At 41.8% G+C, this 27,646-nt stretch overlaps 1 long non-coding RNA gene across 22 annotated transcripts in view, besides 1 other annotated feature; it reads left to right on the forward strand.

Moving 5' to 3' along the window:
• The window catches only part of LINC01643 (long intergenic non-protein coding RNA 1643), a 201,365-nt gene that overhangs the window by 132,794 nt on the left and 40,925 nt on the right, over positions 1-27,646 (forward strand). For 10 of the 22 annotated variants that reach the window (NR_183602.1, NR_183600.1, NR_183585.1 and 7 more), the window contains 3 exons: positions 11,371-11,566; positions 21,488-21,553; positions 24,085-24,222. The exons of 1 other annotated variant lie outside the window; for it this stretch is intronic. This is a non-coding gene — a long non-coding RNA (long intergenic non-protein coding RNA 1643). Of the gene's footprint in view, positions 1-11,370; positions 11,567-21,487; positions 21,554-24,084; positions 24,223-25,164; positions 25,216-27,646 lie in introns of all 22 variants that reach the window. 11 more of the 22 variants (NR_183589.1, NR_183591.1, NR_183598.1 and 8 more) reach the window with 3 other exon arrangements.
• Positions 10,021-10,778: an enhancer, noted in NCBI's record as "OCT4-NANOG hESC enhancer chr22:34556235-34556992 (GRCh37/hg19 assembly coordinates)". NCBI's record gives its function as "activates a minimal SCP1, AML or CMV promoter by ChIP-STARR-seq in naive and primed H9 embryonic stem cells {active_cell/tissue: H9 hESC(naive and primed)}" and the evidence as "EXISTENCE:reporter gene assay evidence [ECO:0000049][PMID:30033119]".

Here is a 27,646-nt window from a genome sequence, read left to right on the forward strand (position 1 = left end):
ACCTATTACCCAAGCAGTGTACACTGTACCCAGTATACCCAATAGGCTTTTATCCCTCTCCCCACTCCCATCCTTTCCCCCCTAGTCCCCCAAATCCATGATATCATTCTTATGCCTTTGCAGCCTCATAGCTTAGCTCCCACTTATAAGTGAGAACATACAATATTTGGTTTTTCCATTCCTGAATTACTTCACTTAGAATAACAGCCTCCATGATGGCTGTTCAGGTCCTGCCAACCCATCAGCATTTCAACCAGGAGAAGGAAGGATAGACAGAAGAGAAGGGCACGGTTTTTTATGAATGGATTTATTCTAGAAATCAGACACTACTTTCTTATGTCTCTTTGCTAGAACTTAGTCACACACTATAATTGGTTGCCAAGGAGGCCAGAAAATGTTTTTATTTTGGGTGGCCATGTGCCTAGCTAAAATTTGGAGGGTTTGGTGTTATAGAAGAAGGGGAGAATGGATTCTTGGGAACCACCAGTTCCTGATACAAAGTGTCTCTGCCCCTAATTTTTCATGTGCTTCCTTCAGCTGGGGTAGAAATGCATTCCAAATTCTTGGCTTTGAATTTAAACTCTGTCCTAGAAAACCACCTAACCTCCATGAAACTGTTTCCTCTCCTACGAAGTGAGAAAATATTCTCATCTCATTTGACTGTGGGAAGGGTTAAGCACATTAATATATGTCGAAAGTGTTTTATAATCTATAAAGCAGTGCACACATGATAGATTTAACTTGAAAAAGAGTATACATAGGTAGGATATAATCATGGTTTTAAAATGTCTGAAGCACTCCCTAGGGAAGTCAGAAACTTAAAAAAAAAAATTCCCTATCACTCCAGAGGGCAAAATGGGTTCAGTGATGAAAGTCAGAGGGAGGCAGATCTCAATTGAGTCTGCCTTCTCTACAGTCCAGGGCTGTTCAACAAGAAGATGGCTCCTTTCTGGCCAGGCACGGTGGCTTGCCTGTAGTCCCAGCACTTTGGGAGGCTGAGGCGAGTGGATCACTTGAGGCCAGGAGTTCAGGATCAGTCTGGCCAACATGGTGAAACCCCTTCTCTACTAAAAATACAAAAATTAGCTGAGCATGGTGGTGTATGGCTGTCATCCCAGCTACTCAGGAGGCTGAGTCAGGAGAATCACTTGAAGCTGGGAGGTAGAGGTTGCAGTGAGCCAAGATCACGCCACTGCAGTCCAGTCTGGGCAACACAGTGAGACCCTGTCTCAAAAAAAAAAAAAAAAAAGGGGCTGGACGCGGTGGCTCATGCCTGTAATCCCAGGACTTTGGGAGGCTGAGGTGGGCGGATCACAAGGTCAGGAGATCAAGACCATCATGGCTAACGCGGTGAAACCCCGTCTCTACTAAAAATATAAAAAATTAGCCGGGTGCGGTGGCAGGCGCCTGTAGTCCCAGCTACTCGAGAGGCTGAGGCAGGAGAATGGTGGGAACCCGGGAGGCGGAGCTTGCAGTAAGCCGAGATCGCACCACTGCACTCCAGCCTGGGTGACAGAGCACGACTCCGTCTCAAAATAATAATACTAATAATACTAATAATAATAATAATAAAATAAATAAAAAATAAAATGGCTCCTTTCTGCAGAACTGTGCTCTTTGTATTTATCTTATCTTCTAGTGGAGGGCTTTGGCCAGTTGTTGGAGATGGGGTGTGTTGATGCCTCATCCATCCTCAAAGCAGGTAAGCCAGTGTCCACTGTCTCAGAACCACTTCCTTATTACCACTGTCTTGCAGTGTGGCTAAACATAATATCTACTGTCAAAAAGCTTATAATAGAGAAAGGGATTTAAAATATGTAAAAATAATGGTTGTTCATAGTAGAAAGATAAATAAAGTGAGATTGGACTTTAGGACCAATGCAATGAAAAGAACATGTAAACACTGGAAATAAAGACTCCCTAAGCTCGTACCTTCTTAAATAGTGTAAAAAAAATACTCATTGAACATTGAATACTCTCAGCTCAGAGATAATCAAGAGACAGTTCATTCTTGAGAGTGCAGGTTTTCAGAATGTTCTGAGAAAGAGTGAATGATTTTAAGGTGAGTTAAAGTTGAAGTGTAGTTGGGAATCGAGGGAGGGGAAGGATGTGGAAAGATTCCAGTAGTATTATTAAGAAAATTGATTAAAGCTACTCTAGTAAAAGTAGGAGGAATTACATCAATAAGACAAATGGTACCTCCGGTAACTTTGAACTCAGTATTGATAGAAGGGTTGATGGAGAGATCTGGGAAATCAATGAAACTATCTCTAAAATTTCAAGGCAATTGATTGAAAGAGAGTAAGGAAAACAGGCAAAAAAAAAAAAATGTCAGCCTTTTATCATTGCAAATGAGGCCACATTGTTGATCACCTGCTCCTAAAGTCAGACTCAATGCAAGCTTCAGGAGGAAAAAAAGGGTGTCACATAATCTGAAAATAGGTTAGGCTGCTCTGTTGTATTTATAGGAAGAGAATGATCTAGTTCATGTATTCTAAGTAGTTCAACTTGTATATACGAAATCAAATCAGCCCCATTCAGAATGATAGACTCTTTACTGTCTTAAATACCCATCCTATCATTCTGCTTGTGTAGAAAAGAAAAAATCAAAATGTCCAATCAAAATGTTCTGATGCTAACACGAAACGCATGATGGAGGGTGGTGCAAGCAGATTCACCCCTGGTGTCTCCCATTTTCTCCTTCACAAATTCCTAGTTCACTTTTGAACTTCTTAGCCAAGAGTCTGTATAACCCCAAGCCTCAGCCTCAATCAACCTCAGTAGTTTTTCCTGAACTTAAGTTATTGAATAAACCCAGTATTTTGGATCAGTGAGGAAAAGCCTGAACTTTTATGTGTGTTATTATATATGGTACCTCTTAGTTATGGGAATTCTCAGGAACTGGGTTGACCTGATTATTAGATATTTTTATGTAGGGATAGAGTGTGGCCAGTATCTCCCTAACATTCATTTCTCCTTCTTCCAATATAATCACCATAATTTTTTTTTCAAAAGATAACTACCCATCCTCAGTCTTTCCTTCAACAAATGTTTGCTGAGGCCCTGTGATATGCTTGGTACTATCATCAGTATTAGGGATATAGTGTGAGCCAGACAGATAAGATCCCTGTCCCCATGGAATCTATGATGGTGGGGAAGACAGGAAATAAATATATAATTTATGGAAGTGATCAATCTTATCAAGAACATTAAAGTAGGTAAAGCGTAGAATTTGACTGGGGAAGACTGGAGAAAAGGAATATGTGTTGGGGAATTTTCACTGAGGAAATTCACTGATTTGGAAAACTGAATAAAGTAAGGGATAGTTCTAGGGATGAACATTCCAGGTAGAGAGCAAAGCAAGTGTGGATCCCTGTGGTGGCAGCAAGCTCGGCATTTTCAAGAAATTGTAAGATGTTCAGTGTTGCTGAGCAAGAATGAAGAAGGGTGAGTGGAATAAGATGAGAGCAGAGAGATAAAAGTGGGATCTGGGCCGGGCACAGTGGCTCACGTCTGTAATCCCAGCACTTTGGGAGGCCAAGGTGGGCGGATCACGAGGTCGGGAGATCGAGACCATCCTGGCTAACACGGTGAAACCCCGTCTGTACTAAAAAATACAAAAAATATTAGCCGGGCGTGGTGGTGGGCACCTGTAATCCCAGCTACTGAGGAGGCTGAGGCAGGAGAATGGTGTGAACCTGGGAGGCGGAGCTTGCAGTGAGTGGAGATTGCGCCACTGCACTCCAGCCTGGGCCACAGAGCAAGACTCTATCTCAAAAAAAAAAAAAAAAAAAAAAAAAAAAAAAAAAAAAAAAAAAAAGGATCTGTATCATGTAGGATCTTGTGGGTCTCAGAAAGGAATTTAGATCTTATTTATTTATTTATCTTTTGGGACAGAGTCTACCTCTGTCACCAAGGCTGGAGTGCAGTGGTTTGATCTCAATCTCGGCTCACTGTAACCTCTGCCTCCCAGGTTCAAGAGATTCTCATGCCTCAGCCTCCCAAGTAGCTAGGATTACAGGTGTGCACCACCACACCTGGCTAATTTTTAGTATTTTTAGTAGAGACTGGGTTTCACTGTATTGGCTGGGTTGGTCTTGAACTCCTGGCCTCAAGTGACCCACCCACCTCAGCCTCCCAAATTGCTGGGTTTATAGGCGTGAGCCACCGTGCCCAGCTGGAATTTGGATCTTATTCTGAATGGCATGTATGCCATTGGAGGGTTTTGGGTAGCAGGGAGATTTATATTTTTTAAAGATTACTCAAGCTACTATGTGGAGAAGAAACTATAGGAAGCAAAAGAGGAGTTTTTTGCCAGGAGTTCAGTTGGGAGGATACTGCAAAGTGAGATGTAAGAGGTATTTTGAAGGAGGAGCTAAAAGAACTTGCTGGTGGATTGGACTTGGAATGTAGAGGTAGAAAGACATCAAGGTGATCTCTCAGATTTTGCCTTGAACAATTAGGTGGATGGTGGTGCCATTTAATGAAATGGGGAAGACTCAGAGAAGAATGGGGCTGCAACCCAAATATACCATTTTAAAAAATTAAAATTTGAGATGAATAATAGACATGTAAGCACAAATTTGTGTAGGAGACAGTTCCATACACAAGTCTGGAGTTCAGGAGACAGGTCAGAGCTACAGGTATATACTGAGAGTCTTCCAGATATCGATGCTATTTAAAGCTGTGGGACTAGATGAAATCACCTAAGGAAGAATTGTAGACAGAGCAAAGAGAACCAAAGACAAAGCCTAGAGTTTCTCTGTGAAGTTCAAGGTGAGCTGACTTAACCTCCAGCTCCAGATGTAACTTTGTAATCCAAAATATGCATCAGAGGTAATCTCATGACTTCTGGGGCTATGAGGAGGAAGGACTTCTCTTCTTGGCTGGATTGAGTTCAGGGATATGTAAGCCTGGGGTTTCTAGGGGCAATCAATTGAAGAGAACCCATCGGAGAATGAAGTCAACACCAAGAAAAGCAGAGCCAACAGATGAAAAGAAACATTTCTATTGATGCCACCCAAGAACTTGGATCAAGGCATATCTGAAGCTCAATTTACCCCTGTTTTTCTTTTCTGTGACATAGGTCAGCAAGATCCCTTTTTCTGCTATTTTGAATTGGACTTTATGTCTTTGGTGGCTCTCCCTCACCATCCCACTACATATCCCATACAGGCTAATCAACATGTCAAAGTTCACACAGTTATTGTGTACCCCTGGGCTCAATCTCAAGTGTTCTGGTTGGTCGTCCAAGGTTACTTTTTTTTTTTTTTTTTTTTTTTTGAGATGGAGTCTTGCTCTGTTGCCCAAGCTGGAGTGCAATGGCATGATCTTGGCTCACTGCAACCTCCGCCTCCTGGGTTCAAGGGATTCTCCTGCCTCAGCCTCCTGAGTAGTTGGGATTACAGGCATGCACTACCATGCCTGGCTAATTTTTGTATTTTTAGTAGAGGTGGAGTTTCTCCATGTTGTTCAGGCTGGTCTTGAACTCCCAACCTCAGGCAATCCACCTCGGCCTCCCAAAGTACTGGGGTTACAGGCATGAGCCACTGCGCCTGGCCCAAGGTTACTTTTCACTACATCTTCCTACCTGTATCACTTACTGCCGTGTGTATAACTTCCACATTTTCTTTCTTTTCTTTTCTTTTCTTTTCTTTTCTTTTCTTTCTTTTCTTTCTTTCTTTCTTTCTCTCTCTTTCTCTCTCTCTTTCTCTCTGTCCCCTCCTTCCTTCTCCTTCCTTCTTCCTTCCTTCCTTCCTTTCCTTCCTTCCTTCCTTCTTTCAACACAGAGTCTCACTCTGTCACCTAGGCAGGAGTGCAGTGGCCCAGTCTCAGCTCACTGCAACCTCCGCCTCCTGGGCTCAAGCAATTCTCTCACCTCAGCCTCCCGAGTAGCTGGGATTACAGGCATGTGCCACCATACCCAGCTAATTTTTGTATTTTTAGTAGAGACGGGATTTCACCATATTTTCCAAGCTGGTCTCGAACTCCTGACCTCAAGGGATCTGCCCGACTCAGCCTCCCAAACTGCTGGGATCATAGGTGTGAGCCATCATGCTTGGCCCACACTTTCTATGTTAATCTAATTTAGATGATTTAATCTATATACAGTTTCTATATTAATCTAATTTAGATGACTTAATCTATATACAACTTCTATATTAATCTAATTTATATGATTTTCTGATGGCCGTGTGCACGCAAGTGATATAACTGGATCTTCCTCCTGGGCTTATGTAAGCTGAATGCCAGCAACAATACTCACTGTGTTAGGGGCTCAGTTTTGTACCCTTAAAATTCATATGTTCAAGTCCTAATTTCCAGTACCTCAGAATGTGACTGTGTTTGAAGATAAGTTCTTTAAAGAGATAATTAAGTTAAAGTGAGGTCTTTAAAGTGAGCCCTAATACAATACAACTGATGTCTCAAAGAAGGTAGTACTGGGAAGGAAAAACACAAAAAAACTGTTGTCTTCATTAGAAGGGATAATTTGGACACAGACACGTGCACACACAGAAGAAAGCCCATATGAAGACACAATGAGAAGGTGAACATCTACAGGCCAAGGAGAGGGGCCTCTGAAGAAACCAAACTTGCTAACACCTGGGGCTCAAATATCTAACTTCCAGATTTGTTAGAAAATAAATTTTTGTTGCTTTAGCCACCCAGTCTGCGGTATTTTATTCTGGCCCCTCTAGTGGACTCTTACACAGTCTGCAAGAAGAAGCTGGGAATAGAGAAAGTTCCAGATTGGCTCCCATCAGCTTGTCCGCCATTGTCAATGGCTCCAGCCATGAGCCCCTGTGCTAAATGATGGACTCTCTACCGTAATCAGCAGCATATTTACAGCAAGAGGGCAATTATCTGAGGTCCAAACTCTTAGTCTTGGGCTGAAAATAGCACTGGCTGTATAGATTTCTATGAGAACAGCCAATGAGTTGCCATCTCCAAAATCGTCCTGTCTCTGGGTCTCACAATTTTGCACTTAGGCAGGGAAATTCTCCAAGGCCCATATACTCATCCATTGACCAGACATTTAGTGAGCCACTTCTGAGTTCCACAAATTACGCTGAGTTCTGGAGACATAAACTAGGCTAGGAGCTTGTCCCGCACACTCACAGTCTAATACGGGAGACAAACCTACAAGCTTAAGGGCGGTGGGATGAACTCTATGACAGAGTGCGGTACAAAGTGCTGGGGGCACGCGGAGGCCAGCATGTGGTTCTGATTGGGTGATCACAGGCACCTTCATGGAGGTGGGGGTACCTTAAACTGGACTTACTAACTTAGATGTTTCCAGGAACCAAGATGGAAAAATGAATACTTAAAGTGATCAGATACAGGATAATAGGGAGTGGGAATGCCTCATGCAACTGGAGAACACCTGTATTTTCCAAAGGGCATGCAGATTAAAGCTTTAAAGAACATTGGGCCTGGGCGTGGTGGCTCATGCCTGTAATCCCAGCACTTTGGGAGGCCGAGGTGGGTGGATCACGAGGTCAGGAGATCGAGACCATCCTGGTTAACACGGTGAAACTCTGTCTCTACTAAAAATCCAAAAAATTAGCTCAGTGCGGTGGCAGGAGCCTGTAATCCCAGCTACTTGGGACGCTGAGGCAGGAGAATCGCTTGAACCTGGGAGGCGGAGGTTGCAGTAAACCGAGGTTGCTCCACTGCACTCCAGCCTGGGCGACAGAGAGAGACTCTGTCTCAAGAAAAAAAAAAAAGAACAGTGTACTGGCTAAATAATTCCAGCTGCAAGGTGCTGTGGGTTGCTGGTTTTCCATCTCTGCTTTTGAATCAGGAAGAATTATCTGGATAGACAAGGCAAAGAAGCACTCCAGGGAGTAGTTAAAAAACCCTGAGGAGGCCGGGTGTGGTGGCTCACGCCTGTAATCCCAGCACTTTAGGAGGCTGAAGTGGGCAGATCAAGAGGTCAAGAGATCGAGACCATCCTGGCTAACACGGTGAAACCCCGTCTCTGCTAAAAATACAAAAAATTAGCCGGGCGTGGTGGCAGGTGTCTGTAGTCCCAGCTACTCGGGAGGCTGAGGCAGGAGAAGGGTGTGAACCCGGGAGGCGGAGTTTGCAGTGAGCCGAGATGGAGCCGCTGCACTCCAGCTTGGGCGATAGAGCGAGACTCCGTCTCAAAAAAAAAAAAAGAGAAAAAAAACCCCGAGGATAGGCTCCTTCTCAGCAGGGAGAATACAGCACTCCCAGGCTGAGGCAAAGAGTAGACACAATGTGAAGCTTCTCCTGGCTGGTTGGTCTCCTTGCCTGATCCTAACTCCTCCTACTCAGACAACACTCGAGCATTCTGGACCATCTGAATGGTCCGGAATGCCATCTTTAGCCTTACATGGCTATTTAAACACTCTTTAAAAATTTAGCCATACTTTTTGGATCCTGATCGAAGTGGCAACTTCATCCTCACTCTTTGTATACACTCTGACCTCAGTTTGCCTTCCTTTTGAAACAGTCTCCTCTGAATTTTGGATTTCACTGAAGGCATGGATTATATTTCATAATAACAATGATCATGGTTGTAGGTTTTGAATCAAACGCTTGGGTGGAAATCCTCACTCTTCAGTTACTAGCTGTATAACTTTGGAGAAATTCACAAATTGATATATTTCCTCTCTCTGAGCCTCAGTTTCTATTTCTGTTAAATGGGTATAATGAGCCTCACTTCATTTTATTTATATAAAGAACTCAGCACAATGCGTGGCACATAGGCAGGCATCATTCTGAGGAGATGAATGGACAGTGAAATATCATCTGCATTCCCACTCGCGAACTTATGCCTGGTTCCTAACTTTGCCTCCGTTGCCAGATTCTGGACCCGTTCTGGGTTTGCCCATTCCTCTGCTCCATCCATATCCTCTACTGATTCACTATCCTAGACTCCCAGACAGCCTTGTGACTGAACTCAGATTGGGCTGCTCTCTACTCGAACAGGCAGACACACAGGAAACGGGGTTTGGTGGAAGGAAAGCAGTTTGGACTATTCAAGTGTTAGCAGGTTGGGAGATGGCCAGACTTAAGTCTCAAATTCTCAGGCTGGCTATAGAGGTGTTAAGGGGATATGTGGCAGGAAAACTCTCAGCAGGAGTGGCATGGGGTGTAGGTTTGCTTGTCATTTTCTGAGGGCTCTTTTTTTTTTTTTTTAGACGGAGTCTCGCTCTGTCGTCCAGGCTAGAGTGCGGTGGTGTAATCTCAGCTCACTGCAACCTCTGCCTCCCAGGTTCAAGCGATTCTTCTACCTCAGCCTCCTGAGTAGCTGGGATTACAGGCATGTGCCGCCATGACCGGCTTATTTTTGTAGTTTTAGTAGAGACAGAGTTTCGCCATGTTGGCCAGGGTGGTATCAAACTCCTGATCTCAAGTGATTCATCCACCTTGGCCTCCCAAAATGCTGGGATTACAGGCGTGAGCCATCACGCCTGGCCTGATGTCTCCCTTGAGTAATAGACCATCCAGAGGCTCGGTTGACATCATCTCGGCAGGGATTGGGTTATGGATTAACGGCACACAGATTTCTTCTCAGAAGGGAGAAAATTGCAACTGTCATCTCTGCTTCATGCCTGGATTGTTTTAAGATTGGTCTTTGGAATTTTCCTTTTATTTATTTATTATTTTTGAAATGGACTTTCACTTTTGTTGCTCAGGGTGGAGTGCAATGGCTTGCAAAAGCTCACTGCAACCTCTGCCTGCCAGGTTCAAGTGATTCTCCTGCCTCAACCTCCCAAATAGCTGGGATTACAGGTGCCTGACACCACACCCAGCTAATTTTCTGTATTTTTAGTAGAGACAGGGTTTCACCGTGTTGGCCAGGCTGGTCTCGAACTCCTGACCTCAGGTGATCCACCTGCCTCAGCCTCCCAAAGTGCTGGGATTATAGGCATGAGCCACTGTGCCTGGCCAGGCTTTGGAATTTTCTAGCAAACAGGCAGTTAGATGTAAGTGTAGCAAGAAACAAAGTGCAGGAGGAGTTACTTTTAGAATAGGCTAGCAAACTGACTATGCCACTGACAGCCTTAGCTTTCCAGCTCTTCCATCCCTCCTTGCACGCGACCTGCTCTGTTTTTGCTGCTGGTCTTGGTGCTGACATGGGTGGAGCTGACTGCAGACAAGATATTAAAACCCATCCATCAGGATCAGGAGCTTTTTCTCAGCACCAGATGGAAAAAGCTCTGGATCATTCTGTTCAGACAAAAGAATTCAACTTTTCCCCCTGATGACCCTCTTGGTCTTGCTGCCAGGGTTCTCTCTTATTTTCATTGACAAATAACACTCCCTGTTGGGAACAAGACATCCTGGGCTCTGTGTTTCAGTGGGAGTTGGTAAACTTCTAAAGCCACTCAATCTTCAGGCTGGGATTTTACAGCACCCCTGTGGTCCTCCATAATTGCTCGGAAATGCATGGTGTCTCCCGTCATGTTGCTTAATTAAAATTCAGTTCTGTTCAACAAAGTCACAATTAAGAGGTGTTTTTTTTTTCTTTCTTTTTCCTGCTATCATTTTCAGACCCCTGATTGTGATGCTTCCTTGCTTAATCTGGAAATTGTCTGAAATATTTCCATGGGCAGTACATGAGGGCCTGGCAAGTTAGCATTGTAGCAATGCCTGGAAAAGAAAGGCACTACGTTCTATTGAGTACATATGAAGTGGTACTTTTTGTTACTTGTGTCATTTGATCTGCTTTTGGCAGGTCATTATCCTCATTTGTCTGGAGCAGATAACTGAGGCTCAGAGAGGTTCAGTAGCTTGCCTAAGTTTGCATAGCTCAGGGCAGAAGCAAGAAATTAAAATACAGAGTCAGCTATCTTGATCATGTCATGGGATTAATACTAAAGATTAAAACACCCCCACAGAGAATAAGTGCTCAAATATCTAAAGGTTTTTGGAAGAAATTCACCAATGATGATTGGAGAGAAGAAATCCAGCTGCGACCCTCAACCTCCTAAATTTTTGAGAATGAATCAAATAACTGGTGTGTCTTATTAATTTTTCTTCTCTCAACATCCAGAGTAGGTCCAAACTGTGGTCAAACCCTCTGTGCCCCATGTATTATATAGGTACCTAATCAACACTTGTTCAATTAAAAAAATAATTTGCATAGTACAATTACAAATTGAAATTGCATTAACAATGCTCAGTGTCTAAACGCTCTTGAGAAAAATGTCTCTTTGAAGCACCATCCTTTTCTCCGCAGCAGGACTCCAAGGGAACTGAATTCTGACCGCTTTGACTTGGAGTTTAGCATTCAAGAATTAGGAAGATTATTTCCTTGAACTAGTCTTTTCTCTCTCTGTAATTCCGATGCTAAGTAAGGATTGACCCTGGCTCCTCTTCTCCACCCCCTCCCAGCGTAATTATCTCTCCAATTAAAGAGCAACCAAGGGACAACTGAACTGGAGGTTCTGCAGAATTACAACTAAGCACGCAGCCGAGGAATCTACTCAGCTTTGATCTCTTATCGCTCTGCACACACAGCCCTTTCTCTGTAAGGCTAGCTGCTCTCAGCATCACTGTGTCTAATCAAACGTGTCACACCTCCACTGAGGTAAATTGGGTTTATTGGAGAAGGGAAATTAAATTAAGTCTGTTTATGAATTAATTGTGACTGTCTAGGTTTAGTCTATCATATTATCCCATTGTGGTTTATCAGGATCAAAATCTGCTGACCGAGTTAAAATATATACATAACCTTTATAACTAGAAAACAGGCATAGTGTTTTGGGTAGCAAAAACAGCAAAGGGAAAATGAAAACTTAGAAATGGAAAGGGAGAAGATAGACAGGATATCAGCTGATTCACTTTAGAAGAGAATGTAAAACAAGGTTACAGACACCAAATACCCCTTAGTTTACACACACATGAAGATATAGTGGCTGGTATATAATAGGTGCTCAATAAATATTTATTTAAATGGCTGGAAAAATAAATTGATGAATGAATGGGTACATTGTCATCATCTTTATCACCATGATCTAGAGGTCTTCACTGAGCCAAGAGTGAGCCATGTTACATGGTAGGTACTTTCTATTCAAGAGCAAAACAAGTATTTATTAAAGGCCTACTGTATTCTAGGAACTGTGCTAGGTTTTAGGGACATAAGAAAGACCCACTTTCTGCTGTCATCTAACATTTAGTCTAGGGGAGAACACAAAACACTGAATTTGTGATGAAGGAGACCTCTGTGATTAGAGGATCTGGGATGCTATAGAAGCAAATAGTGAGAGTCATAGCAAGAACTGGGTCATGTTTCATGGGACGTGACCACAAAGCCTACCAACTGGACTTGAGCAGCAAGAACAGGGGTTAACAAGAGGAATATAAAATTGCTTAGGTCAGTTATTGATAGGGTTATTGATGGGGGCTGTCCTGGTTTATACTTGGTTTCCTGCTGTAATTGTAATAGTGTCCACTTCAACTTCCAAAAGTGCCCTAATTTGGATGATAAATTATACACTTATTCTAGTTGTTGAAAATTCCTGTGAGCTGCTGATGTGTTCAAGAGAGGAGCAGTTAGTAGCTGTCAGCTAGTGGTTCTATAAGGTGGAGCATGAAGAACTGCTGGTGGGCTGGGATGACCTGATTGAGAAATCTTGTGCCAAAGAGGCTTTGAGAAGAGAAAGTTCAAAAATGAAACCCTACCTCCGGAATGTTGATTCTTTGAGCAGCCTATATTTGGTGATATTCTTTGCAATGTACGGTGTGGGTCTCTGTGCTTTATTCCCTAATGGTAAGAGAGAGAACAAACAGATTGGAGGTTTAGGTCACTGGTCAGTGGAGATCAGCAACCCGGCTTGGGCAAGCATTCATCGGCCACTTGCAGGTAAGGAGGCTACAAAACAGAGGTAATTAGAAAACCCTGTCTAATGTATCACCCAGCTGGAAACTGAGTGATGGAGACCCAGTAAAGAAGAGAAAACCTAATTAGACTAAGTGGGAATTTCTTCTGGAACAGGAAAATGTCAAGAATCTGGCAGAAACAATTTTTTTCCAGTAGCATTTGAAACCAGATAAATCCATTTATTGTCTTTGTATAATCATATAATTTCTTCTACAAAATGAAATATCAATATTTCCTTTGCAAAAAGGGACACAAGGGAATATCTCTCATCTGCCACACACACATAGAGTAGTTAAACAATATTCAAGGAATAACAAAATGAAAAAATCTGGACAAAGACTGAGATCCCATAACTTAAAATAAATTTAGATATGCAGGCAATTTAAATAATAATAAATAAATGTGTTAGGCCGGCATTTAAAAATTATCATCAATTATTGGTGAATCAAACTATGCTTCTGCTTCCAGATTTTCTCCTCTCTCTGCCACAAAAATCATCATTATTAATGAGTGCTAACATTTTAAATCTTCTAATAACTCAAAATGGGAAGATTAGAGAAGGAATAGGTAGGCTATCAGTATAACCCATTTTCAATTTCAAGTTGACTTTGTTTTAATCCTTTAAAGATACACTAGAACTTCCTCTGGGTAAATTTGCTAAAGAATAAGAACCTTGTATGAGGTAGGCACTTTCATTGTATTCATTCATTTATCCACTCATTTTATTCAACAAAGATTTGGAGGATTCCTGGCACATAATCATATGGCAGAAATTACAGATCACTAGAATGTGGCTCCCATACCCAAGGAGCTCCTATATGGAAGAGTAGAGAGACAAATCCATGATTATAGCAAAATAAGGTATATATGGAACAGCAGAAGTATGCAAAAGGCAGCAAAATGGAGAGCTAAAGAGTTAGCCAGGCAGACAGCCATGGATCAGCCATTTCAGGAGAAGCAACAGGAGCAAAGGAATGAAGACAAGAAAGAGCACAGTGTGTAGGAAGCTGAACTGGGCTGGTGTTAGCAGCATATTAAGTGTGGGTCTAAAGTCATAGGTAGGGGTCAGATCTCTCAGGATGTTTTCAGCACCTTGGATTTTATCTGGAGGTAGAAGGAGTCCTTGAGAAATTTTAAGCAGGAGCAACACTTAGGTGTACATTTTGAAAAGATCACTCTGACTGCAGTGATGCTGATAGGACAGAAAGTCAAAGAAAAGATAAAGAAAGGAGATAAGAGACCTTAGGAGGAATCTGGGTGAAAAATGATGAGGACTTCATCCAGAACAGAAAGAGGCAGAAAGAAATGAGCAGATTTCTGAAATATTTAAAATCTAAATATTTCAGCCCAGAGCATCTCATTGTAGAGTTGCCTCTGTTATAAACTGTAGGAGAGTGAGAGCCCTAGAGGCAAACTTGTACCAAACTCCAGGCTGGAGAATTCTGTTTCCAAAGACCACCATCCTCTAAACAACATGAGTCTGAACTCCTCGCCAACCATCCCTCTTCCTTCATAGATTTCAGCTCCTGGAGGACAGATTACCTGTACTGTAAAACACAAATCATGAAACTCCAGCTTTCAGATGTTTCCGAGCACACGCTGTGGTTATTTCATTTTCACAGCCTAAGCTTCCATATTTCTTATTGAGTGAGCAGGGTGAATGCAGCTGAAAGCTTGGTGCCTGTGTTCTTTTGGAAAATACAAGTAAAGCAAAGGGTCCTAAATAATTTACAACTGTCCTAAATTTTTCCAGCTGTCTGCCTTCTTCCATCTCTCCAAGGGATGCAAAAAACAGCCTCCAGCTCTCTAAAATGTTCATATTTCTAGAAGCTCTGGGAGAAAAGAAGAAAAACCACAAATGTTCCCTCTTTAAATATTCCTTGTAGTATATATTTTTTCTTCATACCCAGTGATGACAGGTAATAGCCGCAATTTTAGAGAAAAACTTGGTCTAGTGAAAAGATCTTGCATTTTTGTCATGGTGGCATGGAATCATTGAATGTCAGAGCTGAAATTTGAATTTAGAGGCAATCTACTTCAGAGACAGACAACACCTGGCATGTGTGTTGTAATTCTCCTCGCCCACATCAATGGCAGACATTGCTAATCCATCACTATAGTCTTTCTCTATAAGCCCAGGTGTAGCCTCAGATCCTTTCAATACAGTGCTTAAGTGACTACTGACAGATTGGAGTTGGCACACAAAATGAAACTTATTCATCATCCTTGATCTAGTCCCAGCAGTTGCACAGGGGGAAACTGAGAGGTGGAAATGGCCCAACAGCATGCTATCAATGGGTTTTGATGCTCAGACCTGCCTTCAGGTTCTTTACTCTGAATAAAGGCCATTCTAGTCTTTACGCTGAATCTTTCTCTCCTGTGTCTGTCTCTGTGTCCCTCAGAATCTCCATGCCTTTCTCTTTCTTTGAATCTCTGAACATCTATCTGCTTTCTGCCTGTCCTTGAGCTACTGTCTAGCTTTTTGGCCACAGCTGTATCTCAATATGTCTCAGCTCATCCACTGAGTAGCTTTGGGACCCCAGGCGTGCCTCTGGACTCTTCCACGTGTAAATTGGGAACTGTAGTGCCTGCTCTGCACCAGAGAGCTTTTGGAGCCTAGTTGCATTCAGTGATAAGAAAAAGAGACTAGGAATCACATGGCCATAGATACAGAGTTTACTGGAAGATAAAGTAATAGTTTGATTTGTGATCATGTGAGAGAAAGATTTTTCTGGGACAACAGTAACGTGGAAGCACATTTGTGCCTAAATGGCTTCCATTTAACTAGCAGCAGGAAAAGCTCAGTGTGGAGGAGGATGGGAGCCAAGGGGGGCAAGAATGAATGGGAGTTCACCATGTTTGGAGGCAGGTGGTAGCTACTTCAGTGTGTTTGCTCTTTTCTCTTTGGTTGGTTTGATGGAGGGAGGGCACACTTTCCCGTGGTTTTCCTCAATCCCGGGGAGACCGTATCCCTCAGAAGGACTAGACACAAGCACTGAGTTTGGGGAGTGCTCATAGCATTCTCAAGCTCATGGAGGAGGGACCCTGGGCCCTCCTCACCTTCAAGCTTGGTTTCCATTTCATGGTCCCAAGACAGATTTTAAAGAAAGAAAATAAGCCTCATCTCCTAACTATGACTTGGTCGGAAGCCAAGAACCTACTTCAACATTTGACCCATAACCTTCTCTTGAGATGATGGGCTGACTTTTTCAATGCATGAGTTTGTCCAAAGGCTTGATGGGAAAATCTCAACATTTGTTACCTAAGAAAGAGGATGTATCTTACTTTGTTTAAAAAACTGCATATGCCTTTATTTTTGTTTTAGTTCCCTCCAGCTTTATTGAGGTAAGATTGACAAATAAAAATTGCATATATTTATGGAGCACATAGTGATGTCTTGATGTATGTATACATTGTGAAATGATTACCCCAATCAAGCAAATTAGCATATCCATCACCTCGTGTAGTTACTATTTGTTTCTGTGACAGTGACAACACTTGAGATCTACTCTTTTAGCAAATTTTAAGTATAAAATCGGTATTATTATCTATAGATTCCATGCTGTACATTAAGTCTCTAGAACTTATTCCTTGCATAACTGAAGATTTGTACCCTTTGACCAATATCTCTCCTTTTCATTATCCCCCACTCCAGCCCCTGGTAACTACCATTCTACTCCATGCTTTATGAGTTTGACTTTCTTTTTTTAAATATTCCACATAAAAGTGAGATCATGCAGTATTTGTTTTTCTGTGTCTGGCTCATTTCACTTTGCATAATCTCCAGTTTCATCCATGCATTGTGCAAAACTGCTATGAGCCTGCACAGGGAAGGAGCCAGGTTCAAGAGGTCAAAGAAGAGACCCAGAGCTATTATAGCAAACTAGACGTGGAGTTTTATCAGGAGCTTACTCCTCCTGCAGGAGAGAGTCCAGTGGTGGCAGGCTGGACAGGAGAACTGCCTTCATACAAAAATAGTCCAGCGGTGGCACGCTGGACAACGTATTTGCCTTCCTACAGTCCAGTGGCAGTGGGCTGGACAACATAATCACCTTACCTATGGTCCAGTGGTGGCAGGCTGGACAACATATCTGCCTTAAATACAGTCCAGTGGGAACAGACTGGACAACACATTAGCCTTCCTACAGTCCAGTGGCAGTGGGCTGGGCAACATATCTGCCTTCCTATGGTTCAGTGGCAGCAGGTTGGACAACATAATCCTCTTATCTATGGTCCAGTGGTGGCGGGCTGGACAATGTATCTGCCTTATGTACAGTCCAGTGGCAGCAGACACAACCACATATCCACCTTCCTACAGTCCAGTAGTGATGGGCTGGACAACATAGCCAACTTCCCACAGTCCCTTTGAGGTGGGCAGGAGAAGACAACCGCAGGACTCAGTGGTGGTGGGCTGTGCAGGAAACCTGCAACCGCTTGCTAATAGCATGCAGTTTACAGAGCATTTTCACTTAACAACCTTCTCTTAACAACCTCCAGTTGGCAACTTTCACTTAACTCAAAACTTAGGGCCTTAATCCCCTGTACACCCCGTGTTCTACAGGATGGGATGGGGACTTAGATGTTTCTCAGGACAAGGAATGAATCTCCCGGTTGGCCCTTCTGGATTCCCTAGCTCAAAATACACACTCAGGTGTGTCTGCCATACACGGTCATTCTAAGGTTATGCTTAAGTTATTGCTATCAGGGGCATTTACCCTACACCATGTTGTTGCAAATGGCAGAATTTCCTTCTTCTATAAGGCTGAATAATATTTTGTTATATGTATATAGAAATACACACACACATATAATATATATGTATGCGCACCACAATTTCCTTATTCATTTATGTGTGGACAGTTTGTTTTCATATCTTGGCTGTTGTGAAAATTCTGCAATGAACTTGGCAGTGCAGAGACATCTTCAGTGAGAAGACATCCTCGAGCTGAGGCATGCAGTGGGAATACAGCCCCAGCGTGGTCTTAACAACTTACCAGGCTCTCCCAGAACACTTCCTTTCTTCTGTCTCTCTCCTGGAGCCTTCCAGGAGCTCAAGTATAAGGGGTTTCTTTTCAAGACAGGAAATTAGAGATGTGATTCTATAGTGCTAGTGCTCAAACTTGGTTGCACATTGGAATCACTTGGGGAGTTTTTGAAAATACTGATGCCTGGATCCCACCCCTGGAGAGTCTAATTTAGTTGGTACTGGGTAAGGTCTGAGTCTGAGGTTTAAAAAATTTTCCCTGGCGGTTCTTACATAAAGTTTCAAAACTTCTGCTCTATAGTTACCAAACTTTAGAAACCCCACTGATTTCTTCCTTTGGATTACGTGTATAATTTCTACCAAAATGGGAGCTCAAAGTGTCCCATTACTGCTTGTATTGTCTGACAATTCAAGCTTGGGATGCAATTATCCCTGCAATTGCTAACAAGCAAGGAGCAGGTGGTACAGTCAGTTATTGGCTGGATTTCATACATTAGGAACATCTGGATTTACTGCTGTAGTTGCCACTTCAGGGGGCATTCTGATGGTGATAAATAGGGCACTCTCAGGGAGTTGAGGTTATATGTGTCATCAAATGAATAGGAAACACATCTAGCGGAAAAATTACATCCTTATATTTTTCTAAAATGAATTGCCAGTATCTCTTTTGCATAGAGAACCAGATGATACTTCATATAAAGGCTCACCTGCAGGAAAAAGAGCAGAGGTTAGAGGATATCTAAGTCACTCCAAATGTCAAATGTCAAATTGATATTTGTGTGTGCATCTGTACTGGAACTTGAAACACATAGATGACTACTATGAAGTTAGCCTCTCAGCCTCATCTTCTCTTCTGTAAGATGAACTTAATCAAACCTACCAAGCTAAATTATTTTGATGATTAAAGTAAATTATAAATGTAAAGTTTATTGCGTATATTAGGCAAATCTCAGTCCTAGAATCCTACAACTCTGCCAGGAAATATAAAGAAAACCTCAATTTAAAAATTAGTAGAACCATGAATGGGCAATTCGTTGAAGAAAAATATATGTAGCCAGTGAAACAAAAAGAAACATAGCATCACTAGTAATCAAGACATTTCAATGAAGATGAGAACACTATTCTTTTATCTTAAATTGCATATGATTTATGTTGTGGTGAGATAGGTTCTCTCATAACCTGCTAATAGGGGTATAAATTGATTTAGTTTTTTAGAAAGCAATATCAAGAACCTTCAAAAAGATTTTTTTCAAATAAGTAATTCTATTTCTCTAATCTATCTTAAGGATCTAAATATAATTGTTTATAGTTGTTGACCTCAATGTTAGTTATAATAGTGAAAAATGGAAATAACTGAATTACTCAAAATATGTGAAAAGTTAAGTAAATTATGATGCACTTTCAAAATATTATAATGTACCTATAAAATTAAATGTATAAAATTATCTACTGACATAGGAAAATGTTCTTCTAAGTGAAAAGGTGAGCTAACAAGCTTTATTTTTTATATTGTAGCTTTGTTTTAAAATTATATTTTATGTATTGATATGCTTTTATTTTGCTAGTAACAGACCCTGATTCAAACTGACTTAAATAATACAGAAGATTTATTAGCTCATATAGTAGACAATAACACCAAACACATCAGGCTCTAAAATTTGTTGATTTATTGGTCAGCATTTTCATCAAGGATCCAGGCTTCTTCTCAATCTCTCTGCCATCCCCAGGGTTGTCTTCATCTTTAGGCTGGAGGTGTCATATCCAGATCCAGTGGTGTCTAGAGAAATGAGACTACTTGCCCTCTTTGCTCATTCATGTGCTCTTTTTTTTTTAAATCCTGTCTCTATACTCCCCCTCCCGGTATTCCCCATCTTTGATTGGAAATGAAGATTTTTTTTTCACTAGCGCACCTGCAGAATTCCCCTCCTGTTTTATATGCCTGAATTGGGTAGTGCCCATTTCTGAAGCAACCCCTGGCCAGGGAACTGAGACCACACTTAGACCAATTAGGATCAATTTCTGAACTCAGAGGGCTGGGTTTCCCATTGCCCTTGTCTTGTAGAGGAGGGGCCGGTCGCTGAACACAACTACTGTTCAGTTAGGGAGGAGGAGATGCAAAGGGAAGCAGCCAAGTGTATCCACTATGCGTATGCATCAGTCCACGAAGATACTTACCTTCGTGGAGGAAGTATGACGGAAAAATACCCTAAGATGAGAAGGAAGTTTCTAGGTCATATACTTGATGAAAAGATTTTGACTGAAGTCTGATTCCAAGTGAAACCCTTTCAGAGCTCCTGGGAAAGAGAACCAAATGCAGAGAGTAAACCAGGTAGGATGTGACCTCTGATGACAAGCACTTCTGAAATGGGACAGAGGCTGCACTGCCTGGCTGGCTCTTCTCATCTCTCTGTATGATGTGCTTGTTGTTTGTCATGGGATATAGCTTATTACGGTGATGGGTGTTGGGGGTGAAACTGTAGGAGGACTCTAAAGTGTCAGAGAAAAAGCAGAATTTTTTTGTGACTTGTGTAAGCCTCAGTTAAAATTCACCTAGTGAATCAGGCTGGAGATATTCATGGCCTTGTTTCCATGATGTCATGAGAAGAAAGGTTCCAATAAAATCTCCTAAGATTCTGCAAACCGGTTCACTCTCTGAATTCTCTTTATATTATTGTTTCCCCCAAAATGCTGGAAACCGAAAGAGGGTGTCCTTCCATAAGAAATGCATGAATTTATTCTTGTATTCAATGAGCATTTAAACCACACAATAGTAATGATAGGTAATTGTCTTAGTTTCCTAAGGTTGCTATAGCAAGGTACCACAATTGGGTGGCTTAACACAACAGAAACGTATTGTCTTATGACTCTGGAAGCTAAAAGTCTGAATCGAAGAGTCAACAGGACTGTGCTCTCTTTCTGGAGGCTCTGAAGAAGGCTCTTTCCTTGCTCCTTGGCTTCTGGTGTTTGACAACAATCCATGGTACTCCTTGGTTCATTGCAGATGCTCCAACCTTTCCCTCCCAATCGGCTCACACGGTGTTCTCCTGTGTCTTCATATTGTCTTCCCTATGTATGTATATATTCCCAAAGTTCTCTTTCTTATATGGTCATCAGTCATATTAGATTAGGGCCTACCCCAATGACTTCATTTTAATTTGAATACATCTGCAAAGACCTTATTTCCAAATAAAGTCATATCCACAGATACTTGGGGTTAGGTTCATATAACTTTTTGGAGGGATACCATTTAACTTATGACATGTTATATACAGACACTGTTCTAAGTGCTTTATATACTTCTCACAAAAGCTCTGTGAGATAATTCCTTTTATTTTTACTTTATAGGTGAAGAGATTGAATCTTAAAGATGTTTACTAACCAGTCCAAGGTCACACAGTTAATTAGCAGTGTTTTGGAATTTAAACCCATGTAGTCTTAGTTCAGGGCCCATGATCATAACAACTACACTGTACTGCCTCTTTATTATGCAGTATATATTACGTACTTTCTTAGTGTATGAAATAAGTTGCGTAGACCAGGGGCTTGGAGTTTAGATGACCAATGCATGTACGAGGAAGAGAGAATGAAGAGAAAGAATAGAGAGAAGAAAGATATGACTTTTCTATTATTCATTTATTTTCTAGAAAATATTTACTGGATAGCTACTAGACATAAGGATGCAGAAATGAATTAGAAAAATTCCTCGCCCTGTAAGTAAAATAAATTAAAATATATTTTATAAGAGAATCCCCATCAATCCACCTTAATCATTTGATGAATCAGATATCTTTTCTGTGCTAGAAATTGTGGGCCTTCAAATGAATGATACATTGATGCAATGATATATTGCCTTTAAGGAATTCTATGTGTAGTAGGAGAAGTAGAGAAATTTGTAGAAAACACTTTCATAAATATGTATCAAATAATGTCCCATATGTATACGGGTTTATGCCATAACCATCACTGGATTCTCACAATACTTTAACGAGGAAAGTATTATTATCCCCATCTCACTAAAGAAAACAGGCAGAGAGGCAGTGAGATGCTCAAAGTCACACAGCCAGTACTTAGCAGAGTCAAGACTGCATGGCTGCAAGTCTAGCACTCTTTCCCCCTAACCATAAAGCTGGATGGGATGAATGTCATCATGGAGATACAAAAAATGCCTCTCGGAAAATCCTATTGGCTGGTATGAGAGAGCACAGCCCTGAGTAGACAGGATACTGGCAAACACGTTGTGATAGTGGAGCAAAAGGAAGGCTCTGGGCCCTGGGCACCGTCTGGGCAGGACATACATTTAGCAGTGGCCATTTCATGGAACTGGGCTGAAGATTCAATCACATAATTGGGAGGCCAGGGTAGGCAGATCATGAGGTCAGGAGTTCAAGACCAGCATGGCCAACATGGTGAAACTCCATCTCTACTAAAAATACAAAAATTAGCTGGGCATGGTGATGCATGCCTGTAATCCCAGCTACTCAGGAGGCTGAGGGAGGAGAATTGCTTGAACCGGGACCTGGGAGGTGGAGGTTGCAGTGAGCTGAGATTGTACCACTGCACTCTAGCCTGGGCTACAGAGCAGGATTCCGTCTCAAAACAAACAAACAAACAAACAAAAAAGATAGGTGTCATCATATTACCAGAAGGGTAATTAGAGTAAAGGGTAAATGACTTATAATTTTATAATTAGTATCTATAATATGCCAAGCACTGTGCTAATTGCATGGCATCTGTAATTTCATATCACATATCTTTATAATGACTTGGAAGTCCATTCCCATTCATCTCTACGTTATGGAAGAGAACACTGAGGCCAAGAAAGGCTAAGTTTTTGCCCAATGTCACATAGCTACCAAGTAGAAGAGCTGCTACTGAACTCAGCCACGTGAGATTCTCCAGATCGTACAACGGGCTACATTCATGCTAGAAAGCCCCTCGCTCCCATTACCATGAATCTGTGAATGAATAAAATAATAACAACTGTCAATTTTGGTGAAAATAAAGTAGTAAGCATTTTAATATTATTGAAAGTGATGATAAATTTAGACCCTATAGCCTGGAGACCTAGATATGTCCAAATCCTGTCTAAGGCCAATTACATAATCTTATAAGGAGAGTGATATGATCAAGGAAAGAAAGAAAAGTGATGTTTATTAGTTGGTGGGGCTTGGTCCTAAACCCTAAAGTTGAAGTCTAGTAGGGTGGGCTGGGTTATATAAGTCAGGGGCCAGCAAAATTTTTCAGTAAAGGAAAATATAATAAATATTTGTGGTCTTGCAGGCCATATGGTCTCCTGCAGATATTATACTTGACTCTGCCACTGGAGCAGAGAAGTATCCATAGTAGACAATTTGTAAATGAATGGGTATGGCAGTGTTCCAGTGAAACTTTATTTCCAAATACCCATGTTGGGCCCTGTTTGACCCAAGGGCCAACCCTTGAAGCAGAAGCTTCTGTTTCTTTCTGTAAAGACAGCTTAGCAACCAAAACTGGAGCAGCAAAATGCTATGTCTCTTAAGCTCAGACCAGAGCATCAGAACATGCCACTGCAATGAGATGAGGCTTCTCTCCAGCTGTGGAGAATATAAAGTTGGGGAACAGAAGAAAACCATCAGCTACAATGCCTGGAACTGCCAGACTTAGTCTTTCTAACCGGGACCCGTAGACATTAGGAGAGAGAGAACTGGATTGAGAGCCTCGAATTCAGAGGCAGTCCCAGCCCTTACCCTAAAGATATAAAGAGGAGCAGAGACCTGGTTCATCTATACCTTAGAATGCATAGTCCAATTGTGCATTGGAATCTAATTCACCAGCTTGGCACCTCTCCTTTTGAAGGGGGTGGAGATATTTTTCCTAGATCCTGACTCACCCCTAAAGAGCATACATATGTATGCTGGGGAAAGTGGGGTGGGGAGGAAAGCAGGTAGCAACCAAAGCATGTTGAGTAACCTCTAGAGGTCAACACATGCATTTTTATCATTTAATGCTTACATCACCATTACCCCTGGAAGGTAGGTATCATGCTCCTATTTTACAGACTAGAATACTGGGACTTCTTAGAGGCTAGGAGCCCTCCCTAAGGTCACCTGACTACAGACCAGCAGACCTGTTATTAGAATGTGCACCTCCAAAGCATATGCCTCTTCCCATGGCCCTAAGCCTTCTGAATAAGCAAGTAGCAGTGCTTGCTCTAAAAATGCTATTCTCAGTAGGAGAGCATGACTCTGTCTTTTCCCTGCAGTGTTCAAAGCTATGCTGGCTCTTAGAACATCTGAGCCCCCACTGTTTCATCTTTAGAGGATCCCAGCTGCTGGGGTGTGAGGCCAGTGCTGGAGCCAGCAGTCTCTGACCCAGAAGGGACCTGAGGTGCTAAAGAAAAGTAAGTTACCCTCTTTGCTAAGTCTCCAGACCTGCTTTGAGCATAACTGTGCTTATTGGTTACCACATTTGTATTTGGTGCAGGGAGTTGTACTTAGTGGCTGGAGTTCATATTTGGGACTAGAGATCCCGTAGGAATCTACAGAGGAGTTAAGAGTTTTAAGTCCTAAGGAGGCAATGTAAGCAGACTGAGGAATAGAAAGGAGAAAGCAAAAGGGGAAGAGAATTGATGGTAAACAGGGTACCTTTGGGGTCTTTCCAAAATGGAGAAGATTCAAAAGGTAAGGCTTCCAATGGTGGCTGCATTTGCCAGTACACATCTTCCATCCTCTCTTCTTCTGGCATTGGCTCCATTTCCTACACCCTGTCTATGTGATGTAAGTGGGAGTGGCCCCATCCTACCCAGATCCAGCAATGAGCACATGAGTCAGGCTTGGCCAGTCACTGAAGTGCCCCTGGTCAGCATGATTGGTTCATGCTTGAACACCTCACTTTAATTAGCCCAATTGGCATGAATTCCAGAACTTTTCAGGGATAATAAAAAACCATAGCTCTTTTTTTTTTCCACAGGGATCATTATCTATAAAGATAATTTAAGCTTGGGGATGCAAGAATCTCCATGAGTGAAGGATTTAAGGGTGAAGCCAGCTCAGTGGGAAATAAAGCCAAGAAATGGGAAGGGGGTAGAAGGAGAGAGAAAGACAGACAGAGACAGAGAGGTAATTATGTAAGGAATTGGACCCAACATGACTCAAATCAGCAAGCATCCTTTTCAGTTACAGAAGTCAATAATTATTTTGTTAGACTGAGATTTTCTGTCAATTGCTCCTGAAAGTGTTCTAGGCTTGGATGGGACATGCATGGTATCTTAGTCCATTTGGGCTGCTATAAGAAAAATACCACAGACTAAGCAGCTTGAACAACAAACACTTCTTTCTCACAGTTCTGGAGGCTGAGAAGTCCAAAACCAAGTCACCAGCAGATTCAGCGTCTGGTAATGGTCCACTTCTTGGTTCACAGATGGCTATCTTTTCACTGTGTCCTCACATGGTGGAAGGGCCAAGGGAGCTCTATGGGGTCTCTTCTATAACAGCATTAACCCCGTTCGTGAGGGCTCCATCCTCATGACCTGATCACATACCAAAGTTGTTTTCACTTCCCAAAGACCCCACCTCCAAATACTATCACAATTGGGGTTAGATTTCAACCTATGAATTTGTGGGGGGCACACAATCTTTAGTCAGGGTTTGTGGGAACAATATGACCTTGGTCAGGTCCCTTTATCTTTGCACCTTATTTTCTCTTTGCCCAAATAAAGAATACTTGATATTCCAGATCAATTATTTTATGAGTAATCACAAATATTTCTAATATTCATTGGGTGCTTGCTATATGTGCAGTACTCAGCTATTTATGGTACTTATTACTCATAACAATCTTATGGGGTACATACTCTCATTATCCCGATTTGACAGATTAGTAAACTGAGGTGCAGACAGGCAAGTGATTCTTCCAGAGAGTAGGTAAATGGCGTACCTGAGATATGAGCCCAGTGGTCTGTCCCCGCAAACTGTGCTCTTAGTCACAACACTACTTTTTCAGTATTTGAACAAAACATTCAAGAGCAAAACATTCTGGCAGATGCACAGCAGGTGGTGGGGCAAAAAGGGACCCGGATGGGGATCAAGAGGCTCACAAGATAGTCTCAGCTCTGCCGCTTAGTTTTCAATGCTGGACAGGTCCTCATTTATTTTCATTTGTTCAACAAGGGAGGTGGACTAGATGTTCTTTAAGATTCTGTCTAGTTTTAACATTCTGTGATCAGTGACAGAAGATGTTAAATAGATCATGTTGATTGTCATCTCATGTATTCATGGGATGTATTCAGACCCTGGGGTATTGGGCCCAGAGCTAATGTCGTGCTGACCACAGTAGCAAAAGAGCAACTCACAAGCAAGTTTGCCTATGAACTTGCTTCTTTTAGAACCTAGGTCATTCAGCCTTTCTCATGGCCTTTTCTTGAGTTCAGGCCAATGGAGCATCCAGTTTCATAAACTATAGAGATTGTTTTGGGAAAAAGAAATGAAACCAATCAGGGTTGTGGGTTGCAAGCAACAGAAGCCAAGGCTGGATTTCTAAAGTGAAAGGGTATTTACTGGAAGAATATGGAGAATCCACAGATCTAAGGGAGGCTGGGGGACTGGGCAGGGAAATTGGGAGGAGCTGGGGGAGCTCGGGAGCTCACAGCAGGAGCCCCAACCATGGTTCCCATGAAGTGAGTCTGGCATGCACACTATTTCTGTGATGATTGATTGTATCTCCTCTTTCCATCACTCACCTGAGTCCTGGAGAGAGCAGCCAGTTGGTCAGCTCGGGTCACAAGCCCTGCCCTTGGCTATACTATTGTAGGAGGAAGGAGACTCTGTATCTAGAGAGAAGCTCTGCAGTGGGAGGGTCTTACCAGGAGAATACCTCTCCAAGGTATGTGGGTCAAAGTGCTCCCTAAAAGATAGTCAGGTGCATTAGCTGGGTGTGGTGGCATGTGCCTGTAGTCCCAGCTACTTGGGAGGCTGAGGCAGGAGAATCGCTTGAACCCAGGAGGCAGATGTTGTGGTGAGCTGAGATCGCGCCACTGCATTCCAACCTGCCCACAGAGCGAGACTCCGTCAAAAAAAAAAAAGGGTAGTCAGGAGCTGGTACAGAAAAAAAAAAATTCCTGGACAGTCTAATGATAAGCATCATCTTTAAGGGTATAAATTATAATGACAGTTATGCTTTAAAAAACTCAGTAGCAAATATAGAAATATTCTTTAAAAATACAACAAAAAATTATTGTATTTCCGCTCTTCCTTTCTCTGTCCCTTTCTCCTTCCCATCCTCAAATATTTTCTTGAACATCCTTTATTTAGATAGATGTATTGCATCAAGCCTCTAGAGTCAGGCTGCCTGAATTTGAACCCCATCTCTGTTACGACGTCATTATGTAACTTTAGATAACTTATTTTTTATGGTATCCCCCTCCCTCCTTCTCCTCCCTCCTCCTTCCACCTCTCCCTCCCTCCTTCATTTACTTAATCTATTTTTTGTTTTAAAATAATTTTCTCCCCAGATTCCTCATGTTTTTGTTTGCATACCTTGAAATTTAAAAATTAAGTTTAACTTGATATACTCAAATTACAATGCAATATTTTTTATACCTAGAGCTTGCATCTGGGAAAAATATTAAATTTTTACATTAATTTAATTGTGATTCAGTTATTAAATTTAACAGACAAATTATAAAACCAAATTTTAAAAATAATGAGAATTTATTATTTACAAACATCATGCTTTATTTTTAATTTACTATTTTATTAATGACGATTAAAATTTTCAACAATTGCAGTTTTGATAACCACTGTAATTTTTATTGTATATATTTAAGC

This window comes from Homo sapiens, chromosome 22 (assembly GCF_000001405.40).
Source record: "Homo sapiens chromosome 22, GRCh38.p14 Primary Assembly".
Taxonomy (NCBI): Eukaryota; Metazoa; Chordata; class Mammalia; order Primates; family Hominidae; genus Homo; species Homo sapiens.